The sequence below is a fragment of the Homo sapiens genome, chromosome 12, assembly GCF_000001405.40.
Source record: "Homo sapiens chromosome 12, GRCh38.p14 Primary Assembly".
In the NCBI taxonomy this organism is placed as follows: Eukaryota; Metazoa; Chordata; class Mammalia; order Primates; family Hominidae; genus Homo; species Homo sapiens.
Genome location: NC_000012.12, coordinates 40,047,812 through 40,072,435, shown reverse-complemented (window position 1 = coordinate 40,072,435; position 24,624 = coordinate 40,047,812). Strand labels below are relative to the sequence as shown.

Sequence of the window (24,624 nt, the reverse complement as noted above, 5' to 3'; positions counted from 1 at the left end):
ACATTGTTGAACTCAACAACACCATTACTCAACTGGATATAACTGACATCTGTAGACTACTTCATCCAACAACAGAATACACATTCTTCCCTAGCTCAGATAGAACATAGAACGTAGAACACATTCTGAACTGTGAAACCTTAACAATTTAAAAAGAATACAATCATATAATAACTGTCCTTAGGCTACAATGGAATTAAACAAAATCAACAGCAGAAGGATAGCTGGATAATTCCAAAATGCTTGCAGGTTAAACAACACACTTCTAAATAACATGAGTCAAAAAATCTGAATAAAAATAGCAAAAAATTTAGAGCTAAATGAAAGTGAAAAATGAAAATTTGTGGGATTCACTGAAAGCAGTGCTTTTAAATTTATAGTATTTGATGTATTTAGTAACAGAAGGAGAAAGTGCTAGAGTCAGTCTTCTAGGCTTTGACCTTAGGAGACAGGAAAAGAGGGAATTAAATCCAAGGTAGGCAGAAGATAAGAAATAGTAAATATTGGAGTGGAAATGAAATTGGAAACAGGAAATTGATAGAGGAAATCTACAAAACAAAAAACTGGTTATTTGAAAAGGTAAAGTAAGCAGAGCTTTAGTCAGGCTAAGAAAAAAAGAGACCACATAAATTGCGAATATCAGATATGAAAGAGGTGACAGCACTACAGATTCCATGGACATTAAAAATGACAAAGGAATACTATGAATAACTCTATCCCTACAAGTTTGATAACCTAGATGAAATGGACCAATTCCCTGAAAGATACAATATATCATAACCTTCCAAAACTGAAAGCACCAGGTTCAGATGGGTTTACAAGTGAATTCTAGCAAAGATTTAAGAGAGAAACTGTACCAATTGTTTAGAATTTCCTTTAGAAGGTAGAGGCAGAGGGAATGCTTTCTAACTCATTTTATGAAGCCAGTATTAATACCAAAGCCAGAAAATACAAGAAAACTATAGACCAGTATCTCTCAGATACATAGATGTAGAAATCATCAATAAAATATTATAAAATTGAATTCAACACTAAAGACATATACCATTATGAATTGGGATTTGTCCCAAGTATGCAAGACTGATTCAGCTTTTTAAAATTGATATTATCACATCAACAGACTAAATAATCACATCATATCAATAGAATTTCGAGACCAGCCTGGGTAACAGAGCAGTACCCTCTTTAAAAAATAGTAAAATAAGAAGAATAACTAAAAAGTGACAGTAATCAAGACAGTGTGGTGAAAGAATAGACACGCGTAGATCAGTGAGACAGAGAGCCCAAAAATGGACTTTTTAAGATGCTTAGCAGCATTTCTGGCCTGTATTCACTAAGTGCCAGTAGCAAAACTTCTGCTGGTTTAGCAAATGTGTCCAGTAGGTGACAGTTGTCCCTAGGTAAGAGGGTTCAGAGGGCCATATCTGAGAACCACTGCCCTAATCCCCACCTTGAAGTCCCTGCATATAACCGGTTGGGTCTTCTGTTCCTTTATATAAATATGGGCTGATATTTGTCCTGCTTATATTCCGAAGGTGGCCCTAAGCTTCAAATGAGATAATGACTTGGAAGTGCTTTGACAAAAACGCCAAACAGAGTTTATTATTTTATGTGGTTAGGAATAAGAAAATGCTGCAATAAAAAATTTTTAAAGGATGTCCAGAGGTGAAGGGAAGTAACTAGGATGGTCACAACAGAAGAAAAAGCATTTTGAATAGAGATTGAGAAGATTGATATTTAAGGGAAGATGTAAAATGGCTGTTCAAAAAGGATCTTGTTGGATGGCATTACTTTGGCATCACCCAAATCCAGGTTCTGGCCTTCTATTTTTCTGTTCTGTAAAGTTGATTTTTTCCTTTTCAGTTCTTATTGAGTTGATTGGGGATAGAGCTGATTATTTCCATTAACCCAACCTAAAATAGACTTGAGAAAGGACCAGAATGCTTTTTGTAAAATAAGGAGAAGTACCAAGCGAAGTGAAGTGCCCTGTTTAGCTGGTCAGTGTTTTGGGGTTTTTTGTTCTGTCTCTTCTTACAGAAGAAGGATCTGACACCTTTATGGAAAGTTGTTTGGTGAACTTGTAATCAGAACAAAGCAGTTATTTGCATTCCTAGGACAGTGTAGTTGGTGACTGATAAATGTTCATGTTCTTTTGGTTTCTTTCCAGTGTATAGAGAAATCTACCAAATCAAGCAGAACTTTTCACTGGTTTGTCAGGGCACTCTTTACCCTGTCTCTGCCAGAAACACTTCAACAAGTCTCTGAGTTTTTTTTTTTTTTCCTGCCATAGATTTTATACAGACTAATTGGCCTTCTAATAATACTCTTTGTCAAACTAATAATAAATGACAAATTAGGTTATATCATATTCCGTTTATGCCTTTCTGAGGGAATATACTTATTGCATTCACTTATGATAACTTTGGTGTTTGGAAACCTCCATTCAGGAATTTGTTTATAAACTACCTCTTAAGGAAAGGAACCATGGTGATAGTAATGTTTTTGTAACAATGACAAATAGCTCTCTTAAACTGATTGTATATAAGAAATAATGAGCAGCAAAAAGTTAGGGGTGCACAGTATTGACATGAAAACTGTTGATTAAACCCAGAATTTAAGAAGTCATAGCAAGTAAGTAATGTGGAACTGATGCCTTGTCTGATAAAAAAGGTTACATGCCTAATAATTAGATTTTAAAACATGAGATATTTGTTAGATGAATAATAATAATAATAAAAGCTATTGAAGGAAACCGCTTCCTGTAGAAACTAGGCACCCTTCTGTCCTTTTTTTTTTCAACCATGGTCCTAATTAATTCATATATTCTGCATTTCCATGGTAACAAGATAGCATCTGTAGATGCTGGTAATTTAGCAGTTGCTAATGAATTATAATAACAGGTACTATTACAGAAATGTCAGCTATTATACTGGAGACCATAGTTCAGGAGACTTTTCTTTTTTCTCTGACTTAATTTCTTTTATATTTCTTGACATATTTAAGATGCACATAGTTTTCACCCAATTTTTTTTTATTGAGTGGATGCAAAAGAGAGATAAATTTGTTACTAAATACCACTAAAAGGATTGTTTGGAAACATTTAATGAATAAGTATAATGTATAATTGCATTCATTAAGCTATACATGTTTTTTGAATGTATTATTTCTGGGAATGAATACCAGAAAGAGTGAATACCAGAAAGACTTTGAGATTTTAGATACATTGTATTTTTATCTCCTTTTTATTTCTCTTTTTCTTTCCTCACTCCTTCATTTCAACAGACACTAAATACCTAATCTTTCCAAAATTATACTAGATTCTCCTTATACATTATTTTTATAACTATAGTATGAAGTATATAATTATCCATTAGCTAAGCACAAATGAGATGCATAAATGTATGCAAGACTGTCTTCCTCTGCCCATTTTATGTCTAGACATTCCTAGACATGGCTGTTCACCAGTGGCCACATTTCTTACAAGAAGACACTGTGGTCAGCTCTTGATGGTTCAGGCACTGTCTAGCTCTTTCTTTGTGACTTGTTTTTGGGCCATATTCCTGCTGTTTTTACCTCTCATCAGTGAGTGGATGAGAAAAAAAAAACAAGAGATCTCATATTAAGTTAATTAGTTTGATATTTATCAGCTGTGTCTATGATTTTTTTTTTTTGTAGAGTATGTTATTTTTAAATTTATGGGAAAATTTATAATTCTGAGGGTTAAATTTTCTGTGAAACAAAATATTTGTGCACCATGATAAGAATGAACAATTTGCTTTTCTCATTCCCTGGCCATCTTGGCGGCTGTTCTTGGTTGGGGGCCATCTGGCACCTAAGCCAGGAATATGATGGTGGCAAAAATGATGGAAAAGTCACTGGAGTTGATCAACGCTAGGCTCCAACTTGTTATGAAAAGTGGAAAGTATGTCCTGGGGTACAAGCAGATTCTGAAGATGATTAGATAAGAAAAAGCAAAATTGGTCATCCTCACTAACAAGTGCCCAGCTTTGAGGAAATCCCCAATAGAGTACTACACCATGTTGGCCTAAACTGGTGTTCATCACTACAGTGGTAATAATACTGGACTGGGCACAGCATGTGGAAAATACTACAGACTGTGCACACTGGCTATCATTGATCCAGGTTATTCTGATGTCTTTAGAAGCATGCCAGAAGATACTGGTGAAAAGTAAACCAAGCAAAATAATTTTTCTTTAGTAAAACTTGCCAGAGGTTTATCCTTGTAATCCCTAATCCCAGCACTTTGGGATGCTGAGGTGGGAGGATCACTTGAGGCCAGTAGTTGGAGACCACCCTGGGCAACATAGTGAGACCCTGTCTCTATAAAAATAAAACGAAAAATAAATAGCTGGGCATGGTAGTGGTTCCCCGTTGCCCAAGCTACTCAGGAGGCTGAGGCAGGAGTATGTCTTGAGTCTAGGAAATCGAGGCTGCAGTGAGTCAAGATTGCATCAGTGTGCACCAGCCTCGGTGACAGAGTGAGACCCTTTCTTCAACAAGAAAAAAAGAATAAGCAATTTTCACCGGAAGCAATCTGTCTATGGGATTAAACAGTGAAGAAGAAAGAAGAGAAAAAGTAAATAGAAAAATTGGATTTTATGCTGAATATTCTTTGACTAATATAAAGTTTGGGGAGAGAGAAGAAACGTGCAGTTGTATGTGCTTTAATATTTCTGCAGTCCTGAATAGATGTGTAATAAATTAGTAATTTCTGCAGTCCAGAATAGATGTGTAGAAGTAATACTAATTAGTATTAGTAGAATGATGAAGACAAAAATGAGTAGAAAGCTATATGTTTAGGGAGACAGCAGAATGATATTAGAAATTAACACTAATTGCATAGAATTAGCATGTCTGTATAAATAAAATGGTTTAAAAGGATTTGGAAACAATATTAACCATGTTTATTATGTTTAAATAATATACTCATTTTATTACTAAAGAGTAAAGTTCTTTCAAATAAACATGGTTCTTAGATACAAAATATATTATCAACAACAGCAACAAAGTGAGACCCCATTTCTACCAAAATAAAAAATTAAAAAATTAGCCAGGCGTGGTGGCACGTGACTGTAGCCCTATCTACTCAGGAGGCTGAGGTGGGAGGATCACTTGAGCCCAGGGGTTCAAGGCTGCAGTGACCTGTGATTGCACCACTGTACTCCAGCCTGAGCACAGCGAAGGACCCTATTGCTTAAAAATAAATAAATAAGAATTTATATAGTAAACTAGCACTTATGCTTTCCTCATGCATCCTGTACATTAGCTAACTGAATCCTAAAGCCTCTTGGTATCACCCTCGATTTGCAGTTTTGTACACCGGGAACCAGGTAAGTCATTTTCCCATGGTTACATATGAAGTGTAAGTGGCAGACCTGCAACTCGAATATTGTTCGTTATTGAAATTCAAACATGTTCTGTCTATATGCCACATAACATATATGATTTACTTTGAATTTATTTAAATTAGTTTCCCTAAGAATTGTAAAACTAAGTCCTTAAGATTTTTAAATCTCATAATTTGAGAAAAAAAGCTTTTTGTCAACTTTGAGATTTAGCTTTTGATAGTTATGTGGCTCTGTTATCTTTTCATGAAGACTTAATTTTCCTTTCATTGACTTACTTCATTTTAACTTGCAAGCTTAGTTCATGAAACTGCCTGACAAACCCAAAGCAATCTTCCGCCTCTTATGAATGAACTCATGAGTCTTTCTTATCCATAGGAGTACACTTACCACATTATGCATCATCATAATTATGTGTTTTTATTAACTGTACTTTTTTGTCTCCAGCTACATCACTCAGTTCCTTGTATTTTACATTTTATATGTAGGCATGGCATTTTATTCTGGTTATGTGTGAAACATTTTCGGAATAAGTGATGGATTATTATTGCTTATTTATATCTTAATTCTACCTCTAGAACATAGTGGGACATCTTTTCCTAGTGAATATTTATTAGGCAGAGTCTGAAGGAGCTGATAGTCTTTAATGCTTTATCGCTTTCTTTAAAAGTGCATGTTATTTCTCTGACCAGACATTGATGTACTACTCAATTTTCCTTTAGGATAGTGACGTTTTAGATAAGTAGAACTAGCAAGAATATGTGTGGGTTTGTTTTATAGCTAGCTTTGGGGCCATTTACTGAATGTTATACTCAGTACAGTTTGTTCTTTCACTCATTGCATTATACATCATGAGATGCAGGCCTGAAGCTTTCTGGTTGACCTCTTTGCCTGGAGAGAGTGGTAGGTTCCAGGGACTCAAAGTTAAATTTATAAATATTTAATCTCAAACCTCTACATTTAGTTACTTCGATTAGGATGCTCTGTTTAATATGTGTGTGTTTCTTAAGTTGCTTTGAATGTGTAAGTTTTCTAAAGCTTTTTGAAAAGTGTGCCAAGTATAAATACTTTTAGAGGGACTGTTTAGCCACATAAACATGAATATTAGGATTAGACAGTCTTGCCATTTACTGGCTGTGTGACCTTGGATGTTTTGTCACACTTGTGATGTTATAGCTGGTTGTAAAATGGGGCTAACAATAACTATTTCAACGTGCTTTTGTGAGACTTTGAAATAAAACACTTATGTAAAACCTGCCTCATGGTAGGTATTTAAGAAATTATTGTTTAGCTCCTGACTCACCTTATCTCCATTGTGGTTATGTTTTGTAATAAAGTATCACAATAGAATATTTGTATCCTCTGAAAATAATTGGCCCTTTGGGTCACTTCAGGTTGTGGTAGAGAAGTTATAAGGTGTCCAAGCCATATAGAACATTTGTAGAGTCTTAGATGACAGCTAATAATTTTTGTTTGTTTGTTTGTTTGAGACAGTCTCATTCTGTTGCCCAGGCTGGAGTGCAGTGATATGATCACAGCTCACTGCAGCCTTGACCTCCTGGGCTCAAGTGATCCTCTTGCCTCAGCCTCCTGAGTAGCTAGGACTACAGGCATGCACTACCATGCCCAGCTAGTTTTTTTTTTTTTTCTTGTAAAGATGAGGTTTCACTATGTTGCCCAGGCTGGTCTGGAACTCCTGAGCTCAGGCAATCCTTCTGCCTTGGCTTTCCAAAGTGTTGGGATTATAAGATAGGTGTGAGCCACCATGCCTGGCAACAATAGTTTATAAAAGGGCAGATTGTACAGGGTAGCAGAGAGATTTGAGTAAGTTATTAACACAGCCAGAATAATCCATAATTATTGTGTACTCTCAGCAATTTATTTTCATGTCGATATTCCTGTTCAGGTAGCCTCCTGTGGACTGGAGTTACCTTCATTTTGCTTTCTGATCTCACTTTAATATTGCTGTTCTATCTCATTTTTTTAGTATCTAAAATTTAAGCTTTTCAAGATAAGTATAACTTTCTGGTATCAGTATATACAGTATTTGCTGAACGAATTAGAAATAAAAAAACTGGGATTGTTTTGCTGCATCACTTAAGGATATCAATATTTAGTTTTTAAATGCTCCTTTTAATCAGTATTATTCAGTTTTAAGAAAAAATAATTTTTCTTTGAAATGATCAATTTTTAGATTGAATTTTTATTTGATAAGGTTTGATTTAATTAATTAACCATCAGTTACAGGTTTTTGCAGGATTTCTAGTACTATAACTAATGATTCACTGTGATTTTTGCTGTTGCTTCTCACCACTAATACTTAGTCTTTTGTGATAGCCTTGAACAGCATCCTTGATGGAAACAGTAACAATTTTGATGAAATATTTTGCTCTATTTGTTATGGTGGAAAGTCAGTCTACTGAGCTTTTCCTATGAGATGTAGCTTGCCTGTGAAGGATTCTGATTTTGGTAATTTTAAGAAGGCAGGAGAACACTGTGGGACACTTACTTGGAATGAAGTTCCCTTGATTTTAAAAAGAATTTCCTTGCACTGTGGGAGTCTGTTAGTCTATTTCAGAGATTATTGTCATTTTTATTCTTTCCTTCTTTTATCAATAAATAATGACTCCATATTAGGTATTTTTATTTACATTGAAATATATCAAAATAATGTTTACTATTTATTTTTGAAACTTATATGTTAAAAAGTTAAGTCCACTTTCTTGTGACAAATGGATTAAGGGTATGTGTGTATGTATGCGTGAGTATACATATTAATATATATGTATACACAATACACATAATATAATATATATATTTTAGAGACAGGGCACTCTCTCTTTGTCACCCAGGCTGGAGTACAGTGGAGCGATTATAGCTCACTGCAGCCTTGAACTTGCGGACTCAAGTGATCATCCTGACACAGCTGCCTGAGTAGCTGGGATCACAGGTGTGCCCCACTGTGCTTGGCTAATTTTAAAAAATGTTTTATACAGACAGGTTCTTACTGTGTTGCCCAGGCTGATCTCAAACTCCTGGCTTGAAGCGATCCTCTCATCTTGGCCTCTGAAAGTGCTGGGATTACAGGCATGAGTCACCATGCCTGGCCATATATTTTATATTTTAAATGATATTTATAATTGGTACTGAAGAATTCTCATACAAAAATCACTGGAGAAAAATAATTCGAAGTTTGATATATTTTGTGTAAGAACTGATGTTTGGTTTTTTTAAAAAGTAAAAAATAGTTAATGAGATTATAGTCAACATTTTTCTGGGGTAAGCTGAATAAAACATGAAGTCAAGTCTTTAACATATTTGGATTTGCACACCTTAATTAGTCCGTCCTCTATGACTTTCTTGTTGGAGTCATTCTTCCGGTTATAAATAGCCCCGGCTTGGTCATCCAAATGAACGTGCATGGCTATTGTCATTTCATTGCTATGGCAATTTTGCAATTAGTGTGGTAGTTGCTGGCACACTTCTGGGCAAGGGTTTTGATGCATTGACTTGGAAGTGGAAGAATGAAACTGCTTTCACAGCTGCTGTGTGATTCTGAATAGAGACATAGCAGCTGCTTTTTTTTTTTCTTCAGTTTTTTTTTTTTACTAATTTAGATGTAGGCATTATGCTTCGATGAATTGTTGGCAGGAATATCTCCTTGTTCCCCTGTCTGTCAAAGGAAAACTAATTTGGATTTCAAGTAAATATTGGGGCAGGTTGTTTGTGAAAGTTTCTTTCACTCCTTGTGAAAGAAAGTAGTCCTGTAACTGGTTTTTCTGTCTATCCTTTATCTTCAAAACGGAAATGTCACAAGTTGTGGAATAATCAGTAACTGACAAATAAACTTCACTGGGAGATTTTTAGTTATTGAAATGTATGGATTTGTCCCATTTCTAGGGATAAAACAAAAAGTTGATTGGAGGCATTAATGAGGGCGTATCTATATAAAATAAGTTGTAAAATAGATACCGGAAAATGGTATTAATAGAATCATTAATGAAGGGGTATCTATATAAAATAACTTGTAAAAATAGATGCTGGATAAATGATATTTATAGAAGCATTAATGAAGGGGTAGCTATATAAAACAACTTGTAAAATAGATACCAGAAAAATGGTATTTATAGTGGCTAGCTTGCTATTAACTTTTTTGGTCAATGTCACTTAAAATGTGAGCTATAATGGCTCCTTATTCTTCCATCACCAAGTTCTCATAAAGATAGATAAAGCAGGGTAGTAAATCAGTCTTTCAAAAGGAACACTTTCCTCTAAATTTAGAGCATAATTAATGTTAATGTCACCCTCGAAGATTTGAGGAAAATTTTCTCCTACAACTTTAATTTGGATGTTTATAGTAAACCCTTTAATTTTTTTTCCAAGAGCTTATTACTTTTCTTTTAAACATGGAAACTCAGTATAATTTTCTTCTAGAAATATGGAAGCTTATACAATGCAGTAAAACTTAGTTTAGACATTGATTTCTCTGCTGAAAGTACTCCTAAAATATCTTAGAGAGTTGATGTTTTAAGTTACAAACGTCTTCTTCTATTTTTTCCTGATAGTCCTCAGATATATATGCTTTTTTTTCTGTTTTGCATTATGAGCAAATAATTAGTACTTCTTTACATCAGTATCCATGTTCACAAGTGATGGATCTTTTGAGGTTTTGGGATTTTTTTTTCCCCTGAAGCTACAAAAATAAGAAAGTAAGAAATTTAGTTTTTTTCATGAATAATAATCTTGATTTCTGCTCAGGGGACTATCCTCTACCATCAGCTAGGGCAGATTAAATTGAAGATTGCAGGATTTCTCATTATAAAACTGTAGCCTCACAAGACCACCTATCTGATCTCTTAAAAACTTAATAAGCTTATTTTTGGTATGTATTTTTTAACACATCAATTTTTAACAATTGACTTTTGTATGTAATAAGAAGTAGGGGTTCAATTTTATTTTTTTACACATGGATACCCAGTTGTCTCACCACCATTTATTAAAAGGTCCATCTTTCCCCCCTGATCTACAGTAGCTGTTCTGTTGTATGTCAAGGGCTGATGTGTGGGTGTGTCTCATTCTGGGTTTTCTATTCTGTTCTAATGGCCTTTCTTTTTCTGTATATACTGTGTTTATTATAGTAGCATATAATAAATCTCGATATGGGGAAGAAGTCCTCCTTTATTTTTCAAGAGTAGTGACTAATCTTGGCCCATTGTCCTTCCAGCAAGGATCAACTTTTAAATTTCCTTTTTTTTTTTTTGGATTGTCAAATTTGAAAACCCCCACAAACTCATTTGGGTTTTGATGTCAACTGTATTAAATCTGTATGTCAATTTGGAAAGTACAGTCATCTTTTGATGTTCATGGGGGATTGGGTTCACGACCCCACTTGTGTGGACACCAAATTCTGTGGACGTTCAATTCCCTTGTATAAAATGGTATAGTATTGGCATATGTCCAACACCTATGCTTCAGTGTACCTTAAATCATCTCTAGATTACTTGCCGTGCCTAATAGAATGTAAATGCTGTGTACATAGTTGTTACACTGTACCTTTAGAACTTTGTATTATTTTTGATTGTGTTTCTTTCCCAGAATGACCCTCTATATTTCTAGTTATGTTTTTTGCCTCAATGTTTATGTTGTCTGGATTAATATGGCTATCTTCACTTTCTTTTGTTTAGACTTTTCTCTGTTTGTTTTTTATCCTTTTGCTTTTAGTCTTGTTCCTATCATTTTAAGTTATGTTTCCTGCACAAGACTAAAGTATAAATTTTAAGTCCAGACTGATTGCCCTTCTTTTTACTTGGTACATTTGATTCATTTATATGTATTAGATCTACCATTTTCTGTTGCCTTTTCTTTCCCAGCTTATTTATGCTGCTGCTTCTCTCCTTTTTGCCTTTTTGAATTGCCTTGCTTGTGTGTGTATATATATTTTTTCATACAATTTTTTCTCAAGTAGTTTGGAAGTTGTATTTGCATGTATTTTTAGTAGTTGCCACTGAAATTTTACTCATACATATTTAACATAACAAAATCTGAAGTTACATAATATCTTTATCTTTATTCTGAATAATATATGCAACTTAAAGCACATTAACTTTCTTTAACCTTCTCCCAATTTTAGTTCTATTGTTGTCATGTCTTTTGATTCTCTTCTCTTGAGCTTGCATTTATGCACCACAAGATAACTGTTAATGACTTTAAAATTTATTTTCTACATCTTTATCATTTTCTATGCTCTTGATTTCTTCCTGCATCTTTATTCTTGCACTATCCATTTGGGATCACTGTTTATCTAAAATACACTTTCAGAATTTCCTTATTTAGGAATTTTGCCCTTGTTCTTGAAAGATACTTTTTTCTGTTGGACTAGAAACTAAGTTGATTGTGCAATGAGGATACTATTTTACTGTTTTCTGGGTTCCATTGTTACTGTTGAAAAGTCAGCTGTGGTTTAATAAAGAAATTCTAGCAGCAGTGAGAATATTGAGTATGCCCAAAGTAAAGCGATTATTTCTTGTTTCCTACTTTTGTATTTAAAACAAAAACAAAAGCTAAAGCAAAAAAACAACCCAGTGTACATGGGAATTTTCCTTTCTGCGTTGATTTCTGATCCCTTTCCATAAGTATGAAGATAAACACACAAGCTTAAGGTTGAACATACCTAAAGAAAGAAAACCTTAGGATTTTGGGGATCCTTTACAACTTGCCATGACAAATGTAACAAAAGAAGGTTTTCAAGTTTTTGCATTTACTGCTACTTATTTAAGTAGTTTTCATCAAGTTAAAGTCAGCCCTTTGAAAATGAATGTAAATTATCTTTAGCCATATACCTATCATATGTTATTTACCTGTCATCCATTCATCATCCTTCCACATCTGTCTATATGTCTGTGTTACTATATGTCTGTGATATGAGCTGTCTGTCCATCGATGCATCCATCCATCCATCCATCCATCCATCCATGCATCCATCCATCCATCCGTCCATTAATATAGATTTTCATCCACAATTTCTGGCTTACAACTCCCATAGACCTTTGTTACAGTCTTTTTAAAATAATATTGGGGCCCTTTGGGCCCCAGAAGTAGGATCAGGAAACAGAATCTCTCTCTCCCTGGCCTTCTCTTGATCTCCTTTCACTGTCCAAGACAGGACTCTAATCTTCCATTGTGGATTATAAGGCCCCCAGTCCAGAGAGCATCCTCCCTATACCCTTGGAGGAAGGAATGCCACACAGAAGGGTCAAGAAGAATCTAACAGGCCTTTCTGGGTTTCCTCATTCATTCTGTTAGTGTAAGGTCATACCCTTTTTGTCCGATCACATTTTGATATGGTTATCTATGCTTCAATCATGCCTTTTCAATGAAGTCTCCATAAAAGGCCCAGGAAACTAGCTGAACACATGGAGGTTCCTGGAGGGTGGCACATTCAGGAAGGGCATGGAAGCTCCGTGCTCCTTCCCCATACATTGTCCTATGTATTTCTTCATCTATATCCTTCATCATATCCTTTAGAACAAACCAGTAAACAACTTTCCCTGAGTTCTGTGAGCTGCTCTAGCAAAGAAATCAAACCTAAAGTGGGAGTTTGGGAACACCAGCATGAAGCTGATTGGTCAGAAGTTGATTGTTGTGGTGTGAGAGCAGAGGAAAAATAGTTTAAGGTTTTCCATACTCAATGTGTATCTGTTTTATCTATCTATATGTCTATCTTATCTATCTGTCATCCAGTTTTCCATCTACTTCCTCTGTCTCCTCTGGCATAGGGTATTGACTCTGTATAAATGAAATGTATTGAAATGTGCCATTAGCATACTTGTAGATGGAGAGTTTGTAAAAATCTAATAAAAAGGGATAAGACAATGGAGCTAGGTGTTTTACAATCAAATCATTGAGTAGCAGCAGTGCCAAAAGTTATATTACCTCATCATATGTCAAAGAAAATCACTACCTCTATTCTGGCTGTGTCAGTGTCTCAGAGTTACTGCAGCAGAAATAAGTGATAATGCCAGCATTCATGCCAGCTAATTTGTACAAGAGCTAGGCTCTGTTGGCTGAGTCACAGCTGCCACTAGATCTACAAGTAGAGTGAAAAGATGTTTATTAGCCATGGAGAGTAATACATGGGTTTATTTTAATCAACTTGTTCTAAAGCCAGCCTAAGAGAGATGATACTGCCCTTTTCACAGTCATCTGACTCGTTCATGAAGTGTTTGTCATATAATGTAGAGTCTGTTTCTCAGAATATTATGAGCCATAGTTACGGCATCTTGCTTATCACCCTTCGTAAATGTTAGGTAGCTATATAATCTTTTTCAGCCCTACAGGAAAAAGTTTGTTCAAATGTTGTAAAATGTTTCACCATAATTAGTGCCTGCCATTTCAAAGAACTAAGCAATTTGGAGTTACATGTATATAGCTGGTTTACTGAAGAACAAAATATGAAATTGATTAAGTCCATTAAAATAATTTTGGCTGCATAGTAAAGAGAATCAAATGACGTTCCCTCTCTTTTTTTTCAGTCCATTCCCTTTTATCTTTAGTGAGATCTAGCTTTATGATGAAAGCCAGGTGATACAGAACTAGAGCTCCAAAAAACAGACTTTTTGTTTCATTTTAGGAATGCAATTTCTAATTCTTCTCATTGCTCTGTAACAAACTTTTCTATTTTCTAATTTAAAAGTATCTTGGAAGATCAAGTGCAAAAGGTATGCATGTAGAAAATAATTCCCTATTTTATAGTTATAAAATAAGGGAAAGTGAAGGTTAATTTGGCTGTGTTTTTCCTCAAACATTGGAAAACTGACTATAGTTAGAGGACTATGATTGCCATGGATTATCATCGAAGACCCTGGGAAAACAAGTTATGTGACATTGTTTGTAGATCTTAAAAACATGCCTTTTTCTTCTGCATGTTTACTTCGTTAAGTTTTTACTATATATTTATAGTAAAATATATATAGTAAATCAATCTATCTATCTATCTATCTATCTATCTATCTATCTATCTATCTATCTGGAGAGAAATTTTCAAGTGTAAGCAGCATAGGGACATTTGTATGCCCTAGATGGAAAGATAATATTGTAAGTGGTTGATGAAGATAATATCCGTTGGTGGGTGGCTTTTATTATTTTTACCACTTAAAAATTCAAAGGCCAGGTCCATTCAGTCTAAGTTTCAGACACAGGAAAGAATTAACAGAGATCTTTGGTAATTAAGGTGGACATTATGTTGCCCTATAAACTGTGCTTCTTTGAAAGTTGAAAAAATAAGCAGAAATTTTTGTGTAAAAATTATTCAGGCATAGTGTTCCAACTGCGTAAAATTCTTAGCCATTGTTATCACATGCTAGAACAGAAAAAGACCAGTTAATGCTTTGAAGTTGATATCAGAGAGGTCAAGAAATTCTATCAGTGTAGCTCAAGAAATATGTTACTTAGAACTAAGAAAATAGAACCACTGGAAAAATGGTTAAGGAAACGCTCAGCAGTGTACCCATTTACCTGGATTTCTGTAGTCCAAATTAAGTAAAATATTAAATAAAACACTCGAGTCACAATAATTTTTCCTCAAATATCTGCAGTTGTTGCTCTATGTCATTTCATATTACCTACTTTTTATTACTTTATGGACAAGCTGTTTTTTCTTCCTGCCCCACCCATAAATTTTTTTTAAATCAATTTTTATTAACCTTGCAAATCAGAAAATTGTATAGGATGTTTCCAGCTTTAGCACCCATACCTGAGTTCATTTATTTTTCTTATAATGGTTTCTTTTTCAACAATATCTTTTATCATTGCAATTTCCTTTGCTTTCTGCTCATGGAGAGCATATTAAATTGATGTTCTATACTTCTGATTCAGACTTCACACAGCTTCATTTCTACTCTTTACTGTGTCCAGTATGGGGTTTACTTTTGTTATTATTATGTATTCTGCTATTAAATTCGTGTGTTTTTACAGTCCTTCCTTATGCTACTCATTTCCCTATTTAATTTTAGTCTATTGTCTTTTTATTTGATTCCCTCCTCATGGCTCTTCGTTTCTGCTTTTTTTGTTTGTTTGTTTTGTTTTGTTTTTTGACACGAAGTCTCGCTCTGTCACCCAGGCTGCAGTGCAATGGCGCGATCTCGACTCACTGCAAGCTCCACCTCCCGGGTTCTGCTTTTTAGGCAAGGTCAAATCATCTTATAAAAAGAACAGCTTGAAAAAATGGTGGAGACTGTGTTCATTTATTATTTTGCAACTCTAGTATTTCCTTCAATAGTTTATTCTATTTTACTCCTCAGCCCTTTATTGTATGAGCATTTCTATAGCTAAATTCTAGTCCTGGGCTAGTCATATTCTGTACATATTCCTTGTGCATTTCATTGACACCTATGCAATTATCATCTGTATTCAGGTGATTCACGTCCTTTTAGCTCTGATTTAGGCCACACTGTTGTTCTTAGAACATTTGCCTCTAGATGTCACATAGAGTTAAATATGACAAAACACCACTTATGCTGTTGCTTGTTAAATTCACTGCCTTGGGGAAAGCATATTGATTTCTTATTAACCTTTGTGCATTCCACTTTTCAGGTGGAAATGCATACTGCTTCTGCTTATGTAGCACTTCATACAGTGATCTTTCCCATGTTTTTATAACCTCTTAAATCTATTTTAGGAAATTTCTTGAATATCAATTTCTTATTTTGCCATCACTTCCAGTCAAGAAATTCTTTCTTTCTCTGTGTTTTTCCCTGGCCTTTCTCATCCAGTGTTGTTCTCTTTATAACACTACTATTCTTAAACTTAATTTAATTGATGAATACTCTCTCCAAAAAGCAGAACTTATTTCCAGTATCTGAAAGTTACAGGCTTCCCATTCTAATGTGTATGTAAGAATCTAGTATGGAATAAGAAGGGAATGGTTACATAAGTTATATCTTAGTATTGGAATATTATACTGTTATTTAAAATGATTTTGTACTATAAGGGTGCCAAACCAGGGTTTGTTGTATGTGGCTCTGTAGAGATGTGTTTTGTTTGGCTGGTGTTTTTTTTTGTTGTTTGTTTTGTTTTTTTTTTGTTTGTTTTTTTTGGCCTGTGGAGTGTGTTGTACCTTAGTTGTTATGCAAGCAGCTTAATATCTTCCACTCAGTTGGTCTCCTATATTTGTGGTACCTGCCTAGCTTATGTAGGAAGTTTGAGACCATTTTTGGAAAAGAATATTTTAAAGAGAAGGAAAATGCTGTATGAGTGAAAACTATAGATTTGTAGAAAAAAATACTGACAGTTATAAACAGATTTAAACAGTGGTTATCTATGAGTGATTAGAGGCGATTTTTATTCACTTTGCTTCTTACCTGTAGTTTCCAAATTTTCCCTAATGAATATCATTAGGGAAACCAATCAGTTAAAACCAATCAGTTAACACTAGTTTAAAAGAATATAGTTTTGTGTATGCATTCCATAGTACTAATCAATAACTTTTTATTAATCAATAACTTAGTCTACGCCCTTAGGCTTGACACTTAGGCAACTTATAGTACAGAAGATATGTGAAATCTGATCATTCCATTAACAGGCTTGTAGTCCTGCTTGGAGAGACAAACGTGATACAGGCTCTACTGGGATGTTACCAGTGAAAAAGGACATAGACAGATAGAAGATTCTCAAGCAATCTAACAGAAGTGGTCATTTTAGCCATGGGAGACTTCACTGAGTTGAAAGGCTGATGACATGTTTGTGATACTATGTTAAGAGCTCTTTAAGTTTGTAGACCATTGACGTTGCTAGTTATCTCCACAGAGAGAATCTTTCTTATAACCTGACTCTTCTGTTACAGGCATTTTATGTTGGTATTTTGTACACTTTGAAGTTTCCCAGCATCTTTTCTGAGTGTCTTAAGCCTTATTAGAAAAAAGTAGAAACTGAATTCTAAATTGTTAACAACCTGGTAACCATAGATACTTGACTGTTTGGAAAAAATGTAAACATATCAGCCCTGAGCAAGACAGCCAAACCAAAACAACCACAGCGAGGGATTCTGATTCCTTTGACAGACTCTGTTTCTTTTTATTAAAAGTATTTCTTTAGAGATGATAAAGCAATAATTTGCAAAATGAAATTAGAACATCATAATCCTTCTTGTTCAAGAAGCATTATTATTAAAAGGTAGCTTCATGTGCTACTAAGAAGCTAATTAGTTGTTGCCTGGCTTATCATGCTGAGAGACAGCTGTGATTCATGGGTATTTATCTATCACAACAGGATTTTCTAATGGTATTTGGTTATGAAATTATTTATACTTCTGACTCAGGCCTTTAAAAGGGCTTCCAGCCGTTTTTGAAAGCCAACTTCTGCACTCCAGAGCGTTTTGTGCTGTTGAGATGGTGAATCAGCTTGGCAGTGTGGTAGTGTGTGAATCCGGTCGCACTGCAGTGTCTGAGATGCAGTTTTCTGGTGAAACTTCTCAAGCCAAGTGCGATAATGAGTGTTCATTGATGTAGATCTTATAATTTTGTAGGAAATTTTCTAAGAAACTGAGCTTTTTCAAAATATTTAGAAATAACACCAACATGGATTTTTGTGGTTATGTTTACTCTAATAAGCTGTTAATAGGAATTTATACCATTATATTCCTTGTGTTAATTTCAATGTGTGAGTTTAGTATGGACTATTAATAACTTGTTTTTTCTTTATCAGGCTTTTATTTTATTTGGTTAGTGATTAGAATAGGAAAGAAATCAAAAGCTCTTCATAGAACTCTCCTGAACTTTAAATATTTAAATCATATTTAAATATTATTCATTACATTCATTTTTAAAGCACCTAACTCTTCATTTTGAAGATCTCAAATCATCATCTTTGAGTTATAGTACCAGAGCAAAAATGTGAGCCTTGATATATTTTCTTTCTTTAAAACAGGTTTTAGGTAAATAACAGGAGAAATTTTTGCTCATTTATTTGAATATTTCTGTGGCTTATATAAATCAAGGGCTGAATTACACAAATACATAATAGTGATTTGAAACAGACTCTAAAGTTAAGCAGTAGTTTTACTTAACCATCCCTTCTTAAGTAGAATAATGAGCTTTGTTGAGGGACAAAATTCCATTTGTTTTCCCAAAGTGGAAAGTAGATTTTGGGGTGACAAAGCCTTCATGTTCAAGGTTTTCCACAAGTGAGCTCCATGTTTAGAAATCCATAAATTATAGTTTGCATGGGTTGCTTTTATTAACAGCAAGGTGAGTTGTTAACAGGCCCTGTGCCTAACATGTGCGTATTGGGCAGATGTGAGTAGACTGAGCACGGATCCTCCTACTTTCCCAGTTTCATAAAGCGGTTTTAAGGTTTAAACTTGCCTAGTCCCAAATTATACAATTAATCATACTCAGTTGTCATTTTTCTTACTAATTGTTCCAAGCTCTTTAACATGATGTCTGGTGGCAGTAAGTCACTTAGCAGGCAATAGTGGCAGGGAAGAGAGAAGACTCTTTTGCCCCTAGAAGTTTATGTATGCTAGTCAAAGTAAGAAGGTCAAAAATAAAATGTTTCTAAGACATTTCCAAAGGATCACATAGGCATGACACCCAGCCCTTGAATGGCACATTACAAAGGTTAGAGGACCTAGATCTGTGAGACCCATTTTGACATTAACTTGCCATGTGGCTTTCTGAAAATCTCTTTATATCTGTCTCTGGGGCTGGGCATCATTACCTTTCATAGGGGGATAATAAATTATATCAGTTCCACCAGCCTGTTTATAGGATTTTTTTTTTTTTTTTTTTTTTTGAGATGGAGTCTTTGCTCTGTCGCCAGGCTATAGTGCAGTGGTACCATCTTGGCTCACTGCAACCTCCGCCTCCCGGGTTCAAGCAATTCCCCTGCCTCAGCCTCCAGAGTGGCTGGGATTACAGGCATGTGCCACCATGCCTGGCTAATTTTTTTGTATTTTAGTAGAGACAGGGTTTCACTATGTTGGCCAGGATGGTCTCAATCTCCTGACCTCATGATCCACCTGCCTCTGCCTCCCAAAGTGCTGGGATTATAGGCATGAACAAACTGCGCCCAGCCTGATAGGATGATTTTACATGATAAGACAAAATGATAACATAGAAAGCCTTTAAAAATAACATAGTATTGAAAGGTAAGGTAGATATTTGCTCGTCATGAACCTTCTCAGTTCCCCCTCCTAGTCCCTTAATTGTTGGACTGTTTCAGGATTCTATTCTAAGCATTCTTCTCGTATGCCATTGAGTGATCTTATCCATTTCCGTAGTTTCAGTTATGCGCATTGTCCCCATAGTACCATCCTTTGAGCTCCACCTAGTTGTGTAACTCCCAAGCCCTACCTGGCCGAATGTCAGTTTGATGTTGCATTTGAAGAAATATAGTCCAGCAACTAAAAGCAATAGTAAGGCAGAACTGCTCTTAACTTATTTCTCTTGAAGAATATAATAGCATGTAGCTTACAAATCAGCATTATTTCTTAAAATCGCTGTCATCTCCTCACTTCCCTGCTCAAGGGTTACTCCCTTTGTTACAGGCTCCCATTTTCCCCAGACTCACCCCGAGACTCTCACTCACAACTGTTTTTTGTCTTTTTTGGTCTTAACTTCTCCCAATATACCTCATGATTTGCCCATGTTTTCTTTTCTCCACCCTTTTTTTGCTTAGCATGATAAAAGCTCAAGAACTAGACTGACAAAGACCAAATTCTCCCTTGAGGATAAAGGAGGAGACAGGTTATTCTGGCGAAGACCTTATTGGGTAGGGGAAACAGGGAGGGGGTGGGACCACTCACATGTAAATAATCTGTATTCCCAGCACACCATCAAGCAGGCCACTTACTATCTACTTCTATATTTCACAAAGTGCCTCTGACTCAATTCCATCTATGACCTGACCTTATTATCTTGTACTCAAACTTCATTTTTTCCCTCCCTATCTTTGTACAAAGTGCCCATCATGCTCCTAGTTGCTTTTTCCTGACATCAAAACATCATCCTCAGCTTCCTTCTCTCTTTATCCTTCACATCCTATTCATATTCTCTTTAACCTAGATACCAAAGACATAATTCTCAAATCTCTTCATTTCAGTCCATCACCATTGCTGCCACTGTACGTGTTGCTTCCCTGCAATCAATTTTCCGTACTCCAACTAGAATGATCTAGTTGATCCTGATCATTGAACCTGATCATGCATCTTCCTCTTCTACCCTATTCAGAGGCTTCTGCGCACTAAGCCCTTAATTTGGCCTTTAAGATCCTTTACACTGTGGTTGATCCTTGCCCATTTCTCTAAAAGTAGTCCGCCACCCCTTCCTCAGCAGGATGCTTTTCGTCCTGCCTGAAGGCCCTTACCTAAGCTGATCTGATTGTCTGCAGTACCTCCCAACTCTCCCCTATCTCCAACCTACTCTCACTTACTTATTCACTACATCTCAGCTTAAATATGACTTCTATCCAAGGCCCCTCTGACTCTTCAGGCTGGGCCGGTCCCTTTGCTATAGTCTGATGTTCCTCACACTTCCCCTTTGGCAATACCCATCCCACTCGACTAGCAGACCCTAAGCTCCACGAGAACAGAGCTCATGTCTCTCTCCTACAGCACTATCTCCAAAGTGCTAAACACAGTGCCCAGCTCAGATCCAGTGTCTGATGAATACTCACTGATTAATGGATGCTGCTTCCATGACTTAGGCGCCCTCTGTCTCTCCCATCTTATCTGCACACATATTCCGCCTCACATTTTCTATTTATCTCTCAGAAAACCCCGTGTCATTTCATATAAAGATTTAAGCTCATGTTCTGTGCAGAATTGTCTGCCCAACCTTTCCAACTACCACCTGGTCATTGTCAGCTTGCCACAGTAGAATCCAGTGTATAGCTTTATTATGACCCTTACCATGTTATTTTGAAGTTATTTACTTGATTGTATGCTTTTGTGAGTAGGTCTTGTGTGTACTTTCCTTCATAGCAGGGACCCTATTTTATTTGTTTGTACTCATCCTTATAATCCTGTCACCTACTATAGAAAGAATTGGGATGCCTCATAACTAGAGATGATAATAAGAATAAAAATAATTGCTGATCTTATTGACTACCTTCTGTAAGCCAGGCACAATTTTAAGTGCTTTACTTAACTCATTGAATCCTCTCAACTCCTATGAAGTAGTTACTTTTATTCTTCCTATTTTATAGATGAGGAACTTTAGACCCAGAAAAGTCAAGTAAGTTGTCCAAACTTAACCAGCTGATAAGTGGCAAGGCTGGAATTGAAACCCACTGGTTCCAGAGCCTTCCCTTACTTATGATGATCCGTCAATATAGTTTGTGCCATCAAAATTGGGTTTTAGAATCTTGCTGTCTGCTTTAAATTCTGATTCTTCTACCTACTCATCATGTGACCTGAGGTATGAAAAATGGAGATAATTACATGCCCTTTAAAGGGATATCCTGAGGATTAAATAAGATTATTAGTCCCTATAAAATATCTGCTGAATGTAGGTAGTTGTTGCAGTGTTAAGTCAGCCAGAGCACTCATTGGACAGAAGGTCTTTCATGGTTCTTTCCAACTCCAAATCCAATGAGTCTGTCTTCAATCTTTACCCTTTGTCAGTACGTATTACTTTCAAAGCTCTGGTGTTTGTTTTAAATAATCGAACTTTATCAGGGTCTGAGGACATACCTGCATTTCTGTCAAGTAAAATCTATGTGTTTTTTATGAGCATGTGTTGCCTAAAACCACAGTCCTGATTTCCCATGCTCAAATCTGGGGCTACATGGCTAAATAAAGATCTCTGTCTAAAGAGAACAACCAAATTCCTGTTTATAGTCAGACCATAGCAGAAAAAGAAATCCAAGTTGTAAATTATTGTTTGAATTATGAAAGTTTGAGATGTTCTAATAGTAAAAGAACTAAAGAGAATATACAAATCCCGTGTCAACATTTGCAGCAGATGTTTGTTTCCTCTTTCCAAGTTAGATGAGGGCATTTCAGGGTGGTCTGTGTTATTAAATTGATTAGCAGTCAAATGGAAACTTCAGCTGCTTAGGTGATGATTTAATTGTGAAGACTGTTAATACTGTGTCTATTAGCACATGCTTATTATTCTATGAAACTCAAAGTCGTAAGATTATTGACAGGCACTACAGTAGCAAACAACATTGGTGGAAATTAGTATCTAGTTCTGAGACTTAATGGTTTGACTTGTGTGCAAATTTAATAACTACTTATCAGTAGTTATGCAATAATACAGTGAATTTTCCCAAATAAATATGTATTACTTAAATAAATCTTGCCTATCTGTTCATCTATGTATTTATTTGCCTTGTTCAAAGATGTAACAAAGCAAATAAAAATAGAGGAAAAATACACTTATAATAGGATAAATTACAACTGTTATGGCATTAGGAGAGAGTTTGGGTCACAAAATAATACCTTGAAGTCCAAAACATTGGATGGAGGTGGGCCTTTCTGACTGTGTACATAAAAAGGGAAATGAAAAAAAGCTGCAATTTATAATAGCCATCAACTAACAAAAATCACCTGTAGAAAACCACAACTATTGCAGTTACTGAGACCATAGAGAAATGTCACTTGCTGTATGGAATGTAATAAATAGCACCTTCAACAGCACTTGTACAGAAAACACAGCAACAGGTTTCTTAGTACTGATTCCTTCAACACAAGCTGTTTTTTTGCCATCATAAATTCGTTAAAAAGCAATTAGTTAAAAGCAATTCTATATAGATCTGTTTTATTCATTTTATTGATGTTCTGGCTTAATCTAAGGATTGATTTATAGTATCTAGAGATATAAACATTAAATTTTTTAGGCAATCTTTTTTTTTTTATGGAGGCTTTGGTAAGTATTGATTAGATACAGCAAATCAGTATCTGTCCAACCTTTGGGTAAGGCTGAATACTATAACAGGCTAAATAATACTAAATACTAAAATAGGCTAAATAATCAGACATACATGGAAATTGCAGGGGCCACAAGAGGGTGAGACTTTAAGAAATCATTTGGATTGGCTTAAAGTTCTGTACTATACAACTTTAGGTTTTTAAATACACAGTAAGTGTCAAGATCACTCTGGAGAATTTTAAAAGGACAATCTCATCCCCCACCTCTGTAGTTTTCTATTTAGTAGGTCTGAGGTGGGTGAGGTAAGAGCAATTTTATTTAAAGAAAAAAGTCACATGAGTAATTCTGGTTATCAGTGAAGTTAGAACTACTGCCATAGAGAATACTGCATTAATTTCAGATAGAAAAAAATTTAAAGCTAATATAATCAAATACACCTTAGCTGTAAAACTCTTTTATTCTGAAATGTATACCTAGCCAATTGAATAAGGTGATTTATTATATGAATTTCTTATTAGTAAACCAATTAAAAGTTTAGTAAATCTACTGGCATCTAACTATGTCTTTGAATAGTTAATATGTATCCTAAGATAATTTTTTATTCTCACTATTGTCTGATTACATTTCCATATAGACTAAAAATATTTCAGTAATCATTCTATCTAGAGAACTTTTTTTGCTATTTTTAGTCCTCAAGAAGTTATAAAGCATACTTATATGCACTCTGAAATTATCTTAGGTCTTTAGGGGTGCTTTCATTTGTAGGCTTTCAAGTGATAATAAGAAAAATGATATCTCACATACATTTTTACTTGTCTGCAGTAGCCCCAAATTAGTTATGAACAAAATCTTAAATATGTGGTAAACCTTTGCTTAAAGTAGAAAACCAAGCCCATATATGTAAGTGTATGCCTAAATCTAGCATTAGTATTTATTGCAACAGAAATCTTGAGTAAATGTCTCACATTTACTTTTCATTGTTTTTATAGGCATTGCTTCTATGACAGTGCCAGTGTACATTGCGGAGGTCTCACCACCCAATTTAAGAGGCCGATTAGTCACCATTAATACCCTCTTCATCACAGGAGGGCAGTTCTTTGCAAGTGTTGTTGATGGAGCCTTCAGTTATCTCCAGAAGGATGGATGGAGGTTTGTAAATACTTTTTACATTTAATTTTTCAAATCTTGATTTTGGGGAAGGGGAGAAAAATTGAGAAATCATAGTCAAAATATAGCTGTGTGTTTTGAATCATTATTGCTAATTTATAAGTAGGTGACATTCAGCAAAACTGAGAGTGGACAGGAAGCTGATATTTATTTTGATGATAGACAAGGAACCTACCATTAAGAATTGATATTTACAGGGCTTTTTTAGCATTTAGGTGACA

The 24,624-nt window shown here is 35.2% G+C and overlaps 1 protein-coding gene and 1 pseudogene across 7 annotated transcripts in view; both read left to right on the top strand.

The window, feature by feature from the left end:
- SLC2A13 (solute carrier family 2 member 13) overlaps window positions 1-24,624 on the top strand; it is a 351,057-nt gene that overhangs the window by 33,646 nt on the left and 292,787 nt on the right. For all 7 annotated transcript variants that reach the window (XM_011537847.3, NM_052885.4, XM_017018765.2 and 4 more), the window contains exon 2: window positions 24,226-24,385. In XM_011537847.3, the coding sequence (XP_011536149.1) occupies window positions 24,226-24,385 (160 nt within the window). The remainder of the gene's footprint in view (window positions 1-24,225; window positions 24,386-24,624) is intronic.
- Window positions 3,778-4,196, top strand: RPL30P13 (ribosomal protein L30 pseudogene 13; annotated as a pseudogene).